The sequence below is a fragment of the Homo sapiens genome, chromosome 11 (genome assembly GCF_000001405.40).
Source record: "Homo sapiens chromosome 11, GRCh38.p14 Primary Assembly".
Lineage (NCBI taxonomy): Eukaryota > Metazoa > Chordata > Mammalia > Primates > Hominidae > Homo > Homo sapiens.
This window is the reverse complement of record NC_000011.10, coordinates 114874676-114887236: the sequence shown is the minus strand read 5'-3', so window position 1 is coordinate 114887236 and position 12561 is coordinate 114874676.

The following is a 12561-nucleotide window of genomic DNA, read 5'->3' as shown; positions in this document are numbered from 1 at the left end:
TCTTCCATCAGTGTGGGAATGTTGCTAGACTCAAACTTTGTTTTCAGTGGCACCCGACAAACAACTTTCTTGATTCTCTCTGCCACCCCACCCACACGTCCCAGCATGTCTCATTGTTTTTACTGGCACAGATGTAATCGGGCCTGAAGTTCACTGAATCAGAAATCAAAAGACAAAAGAGAAGACAATGACAGATTGCACTCTGCAGAGGAAATGAGCTCTCTGGCCAAGTTGCCGCCTTGCTCTTCCCTAATGCACCCATCTGAGGTCACCCAGCCAGTCCTGGTCTCTGCACTCTTAAGGTGCTCTCAGAGCCAAAGAGTGGCCTTCCCTCTGGAGGAGGTGTCAGGTTTGTCTCCTGTGTTTGTGTGGTATGTGGGGGATGAGCAGGTGGGTGTAAGAATATGTGGGTTGTATGTGTAGGTGGACATTGGGGGATCTGTATAATTGAGCTCATATGAATAATATGTGTATAGGTGAAGAAATGTGTATATGCATGAATGGAGGTTAGTTGTGTGTGTGTTTATTGGGGGGTGTAGAAAAATTGCAGGCATTTGAATATGTGCATGCAGAATGTACCTTGAGTGTTACATGAGTGCTTGAGTGCATTTGAATGATTTGATGTATGCATGGGCATGTTTGAAGAATTTTGCTATGTATGTGCATGGGGTGTTGGTGCATGTGTTTTAGCGAGTAGGGATTATATGTGAGCGGTGTGTGTATGGATGAGAATGTAATAACTACAGTATTAATTTTGTTTATAAGTTTGGGGTTATATGAGTTTGAAGGTGTCTATGAATTGTGAGTTTGTGAATATGTTTTTATAGTGCAGCAATGTGTGTTATATGTCAAGGGTATACACGGAAGACTTGTGTGTAAAGATGGACAGAGGCCAGGCACAGTGACTTATGACTGTAATCCCAATGCTGGAAGGCCGAGGTGGGAGGATCACTTGAGCCTAGGAGTTCGAGACCAGCCTAGGCAACATAGGGAGACCGGTCTTTACAAAAAATAAAAAATACAAAAGAAATTATCCAAGCATGGTAGCGTACGCCTGTAGTCCTAGCTACTCAGGAGGCTGAGTGGGGAGTATTGCTTGAGCACAGGACTTTGAGATGGCAATGAGCTGTGATCGCATCACTGCACTCCACCTTTGGGCAAACAGACTAAGGCCCTGTCTCTAAAAAGAAAAAAAAAAAAAAAAAAAAAAAGGACAGATTTAAGTGTTGTGGTGATGAGCATGAGTGAAAGTGTTAGCGGAGCATATGTTCATAAATAGGGGTTCAGGGACATTGGTGAATATGAGGGTGACTGGATGTATATGTAGAAAATAACCTGAGGGTCTGATATGTATATAAGTATGAAGGCACATGCAGTGGCGTGCTGGAGCTGGCTTTTCCTGGCCCGTGAGAGCTGTTTGTTAAATTTAGGGGTTTTGTAAACTGGTGATTAAACTCAGCCATTATTAAAAATTAAATTGTATATACTTACAACTAAATAAATTAATAAAAATAAAGGTTATAAATAATTAAAATTCACCCCTTCCTTTTACATTTTACTCTTATCCATGTCTTGAGGTTTTTTTTTTACATCAGTTGTGTCTCTATGGTGGAAATACTATGCAATGATGTGTTACTGCTCATCTCTTCCCAACTGTATGTTCAGTGACATTGTGTTAATAATTTGAAATTGGCCATTGTAGGAGTATTTATGTTATGGAAGTTAGCAAACTCTACAAATCAGGGTCTTTTATTTCTGGAGAGCTGGTTGCTAAACACTTACCAGCACACAGGTGTATATGAGCGTTTTGTGTGTGTATATTAGTGAGTATGTTGGTTGGGTATTTTTGAGGTGGGATTTAGAAAGTTGTGTGTGAATTGTTGGTGAATAAGTGTTTATAAACAGAATGAATGAATGTGTATATAATCTGTAAGTACATATGCTAGGTAAGTCAGGGTAATTGTTAACCTAAAATCCGTGGATCTTTAAGGTGTCAGGGGATGAAATTCAGAGAGTCCATGAACTTGAACGAGGAAAAAAAATTCCATCTTTATTTTCACTAACTTCTAACTAAAATGTGACATTTTTGCCAATATGAATGTAGCTAACAATACATAGTAGTATTAACAGTGTTTACGTTTTTATTATCAATAGAAATCATGGATATGTTATTTACGGGTCTTGCAGATATGTCAAAATATTTATAGTCATGACAATGTTAATAAGATCCATCATTAGATATTATTTGAGGATTTAATAAGAAAGCACATGTTTTTCCAAACTAAATTATTTTTAAAAACATTTTGATTATAAATCATGCTGCTATAAAGACACATACACATGTATGTTTATTGCAGCACTATTCACAACAGCAAAGACTTGGAACCAATCCAAATGTCCATCGATGATAGATTGGATTAAGAAAATGTGGCACATATACACCATGGAATACTATGCAGCCATAAAAAAGGATAAGTTCATGTCCTTTGTAGGGACATGGATGAAGCTGGAAACCATCATTCTCAGCAAACTGTCGCGAGGACAAAAAACCAAACACCGCAGGTTCTCATTCATAGGTGGGAACTAAACAATGAGAACACCTGGACGCAGGAAGGGGAACATCACACACCAAGGCCTGTCATGGGGTAGGGGGAGGGGGGAGGGATAGCATTAGGAGATATACCTAATGTAAATGACGAGTTAATGGGTGCAGCACACCAACATGGCGCATGTATACATATGTAACAAACCTGCACGTTGTGCACATGTACCCTAAAACTTAAAGTATAATAAAAAATAAAAATTAAAACATTTTGAAAACTGAATTTTAATATAATTATTTTGTAACTTTATGTATTTCAAACAGTTTTCTGGGGGATTTGTGGGTTTAATCAGACTGCCAGAGGGGTCATAACACCAAAAATACCATTACATGAATATTATGTGTAACTGTAGTTGACACGTCAACAAGTAGGATGTGTGTGAGTGTGTGTGTGTGTGTGTTTATGAGTTGGGATCTGAGAATAGAAGTGACTTGTAGGCTATTAGGCTATTGGGAGTGGTGAGTGAATGAGAATGAAGTTATGTTTATGATCTAATCCCTAAAACCAGCTTCCTTTTTTTCCCCTAGAGAGATCCAGGGAGGCCTGAAGGGCTAGGGAATATTTCATCAAGAGTGGGACATGAACTGAATTCTAAACATTTTCCTTCTAAGGCAGACTTACTCCAAAGTCCTTATACAATTCTTGTTAGCAGAACATAAATTTACTTTCTGAATTCTGGCTGAGCATAGATGGGGCAACATTTCTCACCTGATTCAGGAAAATTCTTGCCTTGTTGCTGCAGACAATTCCTGATCTCTGTGAACACAGGAACTTTGGCCTCACCTCTGACCTGTTATTTCACTTGTCTTTTTCTGCAGACACATAAAAACCCACCATGACATATTGCAACTTACCCCTTTTTGGTGTAGCTAGATATATTCCATTTTCTACCCCGCTCTGGCCTTGCCCACATTCCCAGACTGTCCTCTAAATGACATCACCTGTGTCTGATCTCTTCTACAGCTCTGCTTTCTGGCTGGGGTGTTTGCCAGCTTGGCTAGCTTCAGAGTTCTCCAGGGAATAGCTTTGCCAGCAAAAGGTAGGAGAAAAAGAAGGTGACAAAGGAATAGGAAAGTCTGGAATTGCATTCTGGTGCTTTCTGCTGAAGGAATACGGGCCCAGAGTGAGGGCTCTCGGAGTCAGAGCCCCCAGCTGGCTGCCCCTTCCTTGTTATCAAAGAAATTCAGCTCACAAAATTTCTGACACTGATTAGGGTTTCATCCTGGTATTTATTTATCATTAGCCTCCACAGCTGACGGGCGGTCCAGAGCTTTCCTTCTCTGGACTTTCAATACAACAACTTCCTCCAGGTAAGATACTTTCAAAGTCTTCCAAAGGACAGTCAGTGGACATGCCTATAAGCCTCCGGACAAGATGAAGTTCTTCACCCTTTCCAAGTCAGGTCTCACAAGACTTCCTCAAAAGCTGTTCTAACTTAAAATCCCTCCTGCTTCAGTTTAAGCCTCTTGATCAGCCCTTAGAGGAGATGGAGCAAAGCTGTGTGATCCTTGAGTATTGGGAGACGGCTGCTAGTCTCTTTAAAAACAACCCAGGATGCTCTACTGCCCGAGAGCAGCACTGGGGCGTGATCTTCAGAGGTCTCTAGAGCCTAAAATGGTCTGTGTGCCCACTCAAATGGAGGGAGGTAAGTAATCTTTGAATGCACACACAATTTCACTACCTGCTGTTGCCTCTGTGCTTGTGTCCTTCGTAGGAATGGGCATTGGCTGCCTCTGTGATTAGCATATAGCAAGACTTCAGACCTCTTGATGTAATCTTACATAAGATGAATAAGCAGAAATAATACCAAGAGGTACCTCATGGACTGATGATGAAGAACAAGGAGTCATAATATTCTCTATTACATACACAATTTCACTGGTTGGGATGGTTGCTAGAATCATAAAAAGGGTCTTTCTTGGAGACAAGAACTGCAATCTGGCCTTGTCCTCTAAGTCTGCTCAGGCAGCAGCCAGGGGAGATTGCACTGGTCTGATTCACACAGCCCTTCAGTCTTTGCTACCCACAAGAGGCTGATAAACTATGAGTTTGTCACTTGAAGCCAGGCCTATGTCCTGAATTTGTGTATCTAACGCAGGAAAGAGCTGGAGAATGCGTGACTTCCAATGCCTGACCTTGTCAGGTGCTGCTGGTTAGAAAGTATTCTCTGCGCCCTTGTTAGAAAATTTTCATTAGAAAACCTGGTGAATTCCTTGAAAATTCTGACTCAGGATGGAAAGAACAAGCCTTGCTGAGTAGTATTCATTTGAAGTCTGGCATTCAGTGAGACAGGAGATAAGGCTCCTCTGTTTCTGGTAGTTCTACTTTGAAGGATGGAAAATGGGAAGGTTGCTAGAGAGGATAGAATGATGAGGATGGAGCTTAGCTACCTGGGGCTAAGGCAGAGGCATCTGATGTTTGTGATTTCCTGTAAGAGGTGTGCTTGGATTTGTGTTCTCTGTACTTACTAAGAAGAAAATACAACCTTGCATTTTGAGTATGAGTGTCACTAACCACTCATGCATTTCCATCCTTCTCAGAACTATGTAGCCTGCCAAAACTCTTCGAAATGAGCTTCAGGGGAAGATTGCTAGATGCGTTCCTCAATTCAAAGAGGACAAAAGCTAGGCAGAAGTTACCTGTAGAGGGTGAGACTCCTCCCAGCATGGATTTCTCCAGGTCCTCATCCCCATAGATGGGCTGGAACTGAGTCAGTTCCTAGATCAAGCAAGAGGAATTCATCTACACCACACCCCACTCCCACCCCCACATGTTCCCCTTATTGTTTACAAAGTAGACAGGTCAATTAGTTAAGAACATAAGCTTATGGGCTTCAAATACCAAGATCACTTGATATTTGTATCACTTTGGCTACCTACCTAAACTTTCTAAGCTTCAGCTTCCTCCCTTCTATCATGGGGATAATGACAGTACCTTCCGGGTATAGTTGTTACAAAAATTGGGATAAGCCAGGTAAAATGATCAGCCTAAAGCCTATGCATATTAATACTCTATAAACATTGTTTGTGGTTTCACTGTTGTTAGAGAAAGGGGGGGATCCCCTTTCTCTTAGGCCTCAATCCTTTGTCCCACTGACTCTGTGTGTTTCTTCTAGAGTTTCACTCCGTTCTCCAAACCTACATTCTTCAGGTGGAAATTTTTAGAGACAGAAGAAGCCAGGGAGAGCTTCCCGACTGGGGCATTCTGTTGAAATGGGTTGTGATGGTCTTTGAGATATTTTATCCCATCAGCACTTGGGGTGATCAGGAAGCTGAGCAGCTGGCCTCAGCTTTAAGTGGCTTCTTGGGGACTTCTCAAAATGCTGCAAGAGCAGTGACACCAGTGTAAAAAAGGTTGGGAAGCATCAAAGTTAGGGAATGCTGACCACAAAGATGTTCATACCAGGCAAAAATTATGGTCCACATAGATGGAGCAGAGCTATTAGGTTGGTGCAAAAGTAACTGCGGTTTTTGCCATTACTTTTAATGCCAAAAACCCACAGTTACTTTTGCACCAATCAACCTAATAAATGTCTCAGGAGAGGAACCTTTTGTGGTTTTCTGGTGTTGGGGGCTCATGGGTATGTTTGTAATAGTGGGAGGTGACAGGATGGGCAGGGCAGGGCTGCTGGAAGGAATGCTTCCTGTGTGAACTTGAAAATTGCCGTTTTTATTGGCTAGAGTGCTTTGATATTGGGTATTTTTGGCATAGATTTTTGCCTCATCTCCATTGAAGTTTTTTTTTTGTTTTTGTTTTTGTTTGTTTTTTCACATTCTTGTTCCACCAAAGCTACCAAAGCTTCCTTATAGATAAACCATCCTTTCTTGGCTGTTGAAAACATGGGGGAATCCTGATCCTAAGAAGCTTATTTCCTCTCAGATTACTTACCAGGCCTTGTAGGTGGCCCTGGGTTGCTGAGAAACATCTCTCACTACAAGCCTCTTCAGGATCCTGTAAGAACATCCTTAATGTTCACAACAACCCCTGCTGAGTGTTCTTGACCTCATCTGAACCGAGATGTCAAACAAATCCTCTAGTCACACATAATTTGATGAGGGTGAAGAAACCCTACACAGTAATCTCCCTCACTGACCTAGTGGCTGTCTTTTGTTCGGTGCAGCAAAGCTGGCCTGGGTAGGCTGTGGTTAGAGACCCCTGTGCCTTGCATCTCACTCCTCCTACATGGAGTGTCTCCAATAAATGTGTTCAGGGGAAAAGCTTGGCTTGAAGGAAAACAGGATCCCTAAGTTTCTATCTCATAGCCATTGGGAAAAGAGCACCTTATAAGTTTAAAAAAAAAAAAAAAAAAAAAAGCCCAAACCTAAAAACAAAGAGAAACCACTCAAAATTTAAGAACTAGTCACCAAATTGGAGTGAGGGAGGAAGAGGCTGAAGGCATTGAAGGAGTTGTTTTATGTTTCAAAGAAAGAAGCAATATTTTACACAGCGGGGGAGAATCTTCTGGAATGCCTCCTCTCATGGGTTGACTCAAACTAAAAATTGTTAAATGCTGCAGAAGAGAAGTCAGTGAATTTTACAAGGTCATTAAGCAGAGTTGTTTTAAAACCAGCATTTACTCAACATCTAATATGTACCAGGAACTTTACTAGAATATTATGTGATATTTTTGTTTGATTTTACTTTTGTAACAACTCTGTAAGTTAGGAGGTACTGCCAGTCCCATTTTATAGATGAGGCTCATATAGCTTAAGAAGGCATCTAATTGAGGTGCAAACCTGGGAGTCAAACTTATATCTGTCCAACTCCAAAGCCTGTGATTCTTCAACTGTTTTACATTTTATATTTATATGTGCATTTTACATTTAATATTTTTCTAAGGCAGACAAAATATATTGAGCAATTGCTTACCTCTGTAGCTTGATGTCAGCATAAAGAACAAGATTGCCATTCATTTATTTCTTTGCATGCTTATATCCATCCCTTTAGCAAGTATTTAGAGAAAGACTACCAAGAAGTACTGTGTACTTGGTCACAACCCATCTCTTGGGTCTATAGTTTAAATTAGGCCACTAGATTAATACCTAGCATAAGGAAATGCTTTGGTTCCATGGCTCATACCAAGGCAGTAGGAAGACATTAATAGAGAGCCACAAGGCTTTATATCCTAGACTTATTTCTGTCTCCTGATTTCAAATTGCATCATCACTATATTTTCTAATCAATGCTGCCCTCTCCCCTCTTCCATGGGATTCTAGTCATGTGGTTTTTCAGTGGCTAAAGATTGCTTACAGTTATCTGTCCCAAAGCCCTCTTGTGAGTAAAAAATTGTTTGCATATAAATGCATAAATTCTGCCCCTTGTGTAGTAAGGAGCATGCTACACATGACCCTAGCAAGGCCAATAGCTCCCTCCATGCATTGGAACCCATCTCCTGGCTGATCATTTCTCCAGCAACCCCCTTCCTCACCTTCTTTCTCTTGAAGTATCATCTTTCCCCTTTGTTCTGGATCATTTATCAGCATTCATATATGTCATAATTTATCCAATATTAACAAAAAAAATCCTCCTAGATCCCACTTCTCTTGCAGTCCTCTTCATTTCTCTCTTTCCCTTAAGGCAAAACTCTGAAAAGTTGTCTGTCCTCACTTACCACAATTTCTTTCCCCCATTCTCTGTTTAACCCACTCCAGTGAGGAGATTTTTTTTCTCCTACCACTCCATCAAACCTCTAATGATCCCCTTAAACATAATGGCAATTTCTTGCTCCACCTACTATTTGATCTATAAACAGTGACACTTGACCCAGTCAATCACTCCTTGAACACTTTCCTCACTTGGCTTCCAGGGCACCATATTCACTAGTTTTCTTTTAAACTTTCAGGTGGCTTTGTCTAAAGTCACTTTCATTGATTCTTCTTGATCTACCCAACCTCTAAATGTTGGAGTGCATTAGAGCTCAGTCTTTGGAGTTCTTCTCTTTTCTACCTACATGCACATAGCGTGGGAGATTCCATCTAGTCTTGTGGCTTTCAATGCATCCCCATGCATTTTTCCTCCTCTGTTCCAGATCCACATATTCATCTATGCCTCCTTGACCTACTGGATCTATAACAGGCTTCACAAAACCAACCTGTCCAAACACAAGCTTCCAATCTTCCCTCCCAACCAGGCTGTCCTGCATCTCAATTTATGGCAATGCCATTCTTCCAGTTGTTCTGGCTCAAAGACTTGGTGCTGTCTTTGACTCTCCCCTTTCTCCCACTTACCGTATCTCAGTTGCCAAAAAGGCCTCTCAGTCCTATTTTCAAACTATATCCAGAACTTAACCATTTTTTTTCACCCCCATGTTCACTCCCTTGGTCCCAGCCACCATTACCTCTCTCCTGAATTATTGCAATAGCCTCCTCATTATTTTCTCTGACTCTGTTCTTGGTCCCTTATGCTCTGTTTTCAATACAGCTGTCAAAGCCATCCTGCTCAAACCCTCTGATGCTTCCCAGACACCTCAGGGTGAAAGCCTCACACTGACCCACAGAGCTCAGCCAGATCCAGCTTGTCTCCTTCTGCTCTCTGCTTATTAATTCTGCTCCAGCCACACTGATTTCCTTGCTGTTTCTTAAATATTCCAAGCACATTCCTGCTTCAGGGCCTTTGCACTTGCTTCTCTATGTAGAATGTTCTCTTTCCAGGCAACCACATGGCCAGCTCCTTCACTTCCTTTTAGGTCTTCATTCAAATGTTGCTTTTTTAGTAAAGTTTTGTTTTTTTTTTCAGACCAAGATCTCAAATTTTATTTCCCACCCTTGAAGTTTTATAACCCCACTCCCTCCTTTATTTTTTTCTAAATAACTTACCACCACCTAACACTATATATTTTAATTATTTGCCTTTTACTTATTTACCCTGTTTATTGTCAGCCTCCCCAGTAGACTGAATACTAAATGAGGACAAGGATTTTGGATGGTTTTAGTTTTACTGTAATTTCAGTACTTAGAAGAGCACTTGGTGTATCACATATGCTCAAAAAGCAACTGGATGAATAAATTGGATTTTTGGAAAAGGAATAAATGCCTAGACCAGAAAAACTGCCTACCTTACAAAAGTAACATGAAAAAAAAAAAAACCACCAAAATATATAGAAGGCCAGTTCTAAATCCTAACACTGGGAAGTTACTAAATGCTATGTGCTATACTTCTGAATCTTGTCCACAAGTGCTTAATAAAGTAAAATACTTGCTATTCTTCTCTGGGGACTGGAGGGAAAAGTTGCAAATATTGCAAAAGTATAAGGTAAAGGCCAATGATAAATTAACTAGAATATTGCTTATTGTGCTTTAATATCAGCAATAATAAAACACAATACATGCCTTGAATCAAGTGTCATTATGGGCTTTTATCAACCCAAATTTTTTCTAGAGGCAGCTTAGTCGTTCTTCTTCTTCCATGAAAACCTGGGCAAGTATTCGGGTACTAACACTTCCAGCTACTTACATGAAAAGCCTGCCTGTGGGATTGCATGTTGAAGGAAGGTGATAAAGCATGAGGTTGCACCCATATAGGAACTGATTTATCTTCCAGAGGATGAGTTCCACATCCAACTATAGGCCCATTTGCCAAGCAGATCTGAGAAATGGGTGCTAATTGTGAAAACTCACTAGATCAGCTGCAAGGGAAATCTTCTATGAGGAGGTTGGGGTAGGAGTGGTGCAAAAGAGAAAACTAAAAATGTATGTAAGTGGTTTCAAGGGTGCAGAAGGGCCCTGATACTTGGACTTTGCACCCTAAGCCACCCCTACCCAGCCCCACACTTTGCAGCCGACAGTCAGCAGAGGCACAGCTTGCAGTGCATCCCTCACCAGTTGTCCACACCTCCCCAGTCTTGCTTCTGTTCACACAGGCCCTAGCCTGCTCCTGACTCTTAGTTTCAACCCACTTGCCATGATTTCCCCATTTCCACCCAGATGCTGTATAGGAACTTGGGCTAGGCTCTCCATCTGGATCTTCTCCCTCCTCCCCCTGGACGTAGGACAGCCCACCTGTCCCCAGCCCCAGAACCCAAATCCCCATAAGCGAAAATAGAAGTCCAGGCCAGGTGATTTTCTAGCAGAGCTCTATATGTGCACCTTTGGCAGGGAGAGTGTGTAACTCAGGCAGCCAGGGTCACCTCATCTTACCAGCATCTCCTTGTTCCGTGTCTAATTCAACAAATTCCATGGCAACGCGGGGCCTGCTCAGCTTACCTGACCTTCCCGACCTCCCTGTTAACAACTCTCTCACTTAGCTGAGTACGGTGTGAGTCTCCTTCCCTCCCAGTAGCCTCCTTTGATTTCTGCATTACAGTGCAGTGAGTGGGGGCAGTCTCTCCTGGACAGGACATCTGGGGATGAAACTAGAGAGGAGGGATTCAAGCCTGTGTGTTGGGGGTGAGGGGTAGGGGATGGGGGAGCATGTCCTTGCTCTTAGAGGAACCCTGTTCTGGAAGCCCAGTGTTAGGATTTAGAACTGGCCTTCTGTATATTCTATCTAGAGCCCTGTTCTAGAAGCCCAGTGTTAGGATTTAGAACTGGCCTTCTATGTATTTTGGTGGGGTTTTTCTATATATATTTTCTATATATTTGGTGTTTTTTTTTTTTTCACCTTACTTTTGTAAGGTAGGCAGTTTTCAAGTTATGGGGCAATGAGTTGATGTTCATGTCACTCAGGACACCTGACAGCTATGTGTGAGACACATCCTTTGCTCTTCCTGACCCACCATCCAAATGGGCATTTAATATATGGATTTCAGACCTTCTTCTGCAAAACTCAGGCTTCTCTGAACCTGACAAATATCCACAATGTGCTGACTGAAAGACGGTAATCAGCCATGTCATAGGCCCACTCATCTATGCTGAGCTTTTCATCATTATTCTTTTTTATAATGAATATTCTGTTATTGTTTTGTTATTCCTTTTATTTTTATTTCATATTTGTAAAAGCATTAGAAAATTTTGGAAGCATTTTCACTGAAAGTGTTTCCTCTGAGTCATGGTGGTCTTGAAAGGAAGGCAGTGAAGATATTAGTGGGGATGTGTTCTCCTGGAGAGAGTCACATCCGAGTGCTGAGAGGATGAAGGAACTGGGTGGTGTCCGGAAGTGATCCAGGTCCTCTGGCTCCACTTCCAACACTCTCCCACCAGCCCATGCTGTCTCCTTCTGGTGGCATGCCCTCATTGTATTCAGGAAGGGTTTTGCCTGCAGAGCGTATGAGTGTGTACAATAATGAGGTGCATGACAGCAGGGCTCTGTGGTGTCATGCATACTGTTCAATTGATGTCAAGGAGTGTTGGTATCACCCTGTCCCTACTCCTTTCTCTTGAACAACCTCCCCTAGACAGAATCAATCTCTCCCGCCTCTGTTCCCCTGTACCATGTAATTCAAAAGTGCTAGGAAAACACTTATAAGATTGTAGTACAGATTGGTGTAAAAGGATGGCTTGGCTGAGACTAGAATATGACAACTTTGAAGTTAAGCAACACTCCCCTAGAGATCTTCTCTGTGCTCTGGGCAGAGAAAATCACTCTGTCACGAAATGTTCAGGGACCCTGTTACAGGTGTCAGGCAACATCCTATGATTTCTCTGGGGCCCAGAGGCTCCATGGGAAATAATCTGAACCTTTATTTGGAATTCAGAATTTCATAGATACATCTGATGGACTGAATGGGGAGGGGGTCCCCACAGAAAGAAGAAAAAAATGGAAACTTATAGAAAGAAATCTCCATAAGTGAGTAATGAGTCTGCCAGAGTAAGCTAGGTGCAACCCCAGGGTCTGAAGTGTGGAGAGGACAAGGACCCTGGAACAGAGTGAGGCTGCACTGAAAGCCATCTGCATCTTCTCACCTTCCACCTCCTCTAGTGAAGCTGTGCCTCCTGTGAGAGTAAGGAGGAGACAGGACTCCTGAGTGATTACGTGTCCCAGCCCCTCTGCTCTGGGCCCCCTCTGAAGGGGCTGGGCCATA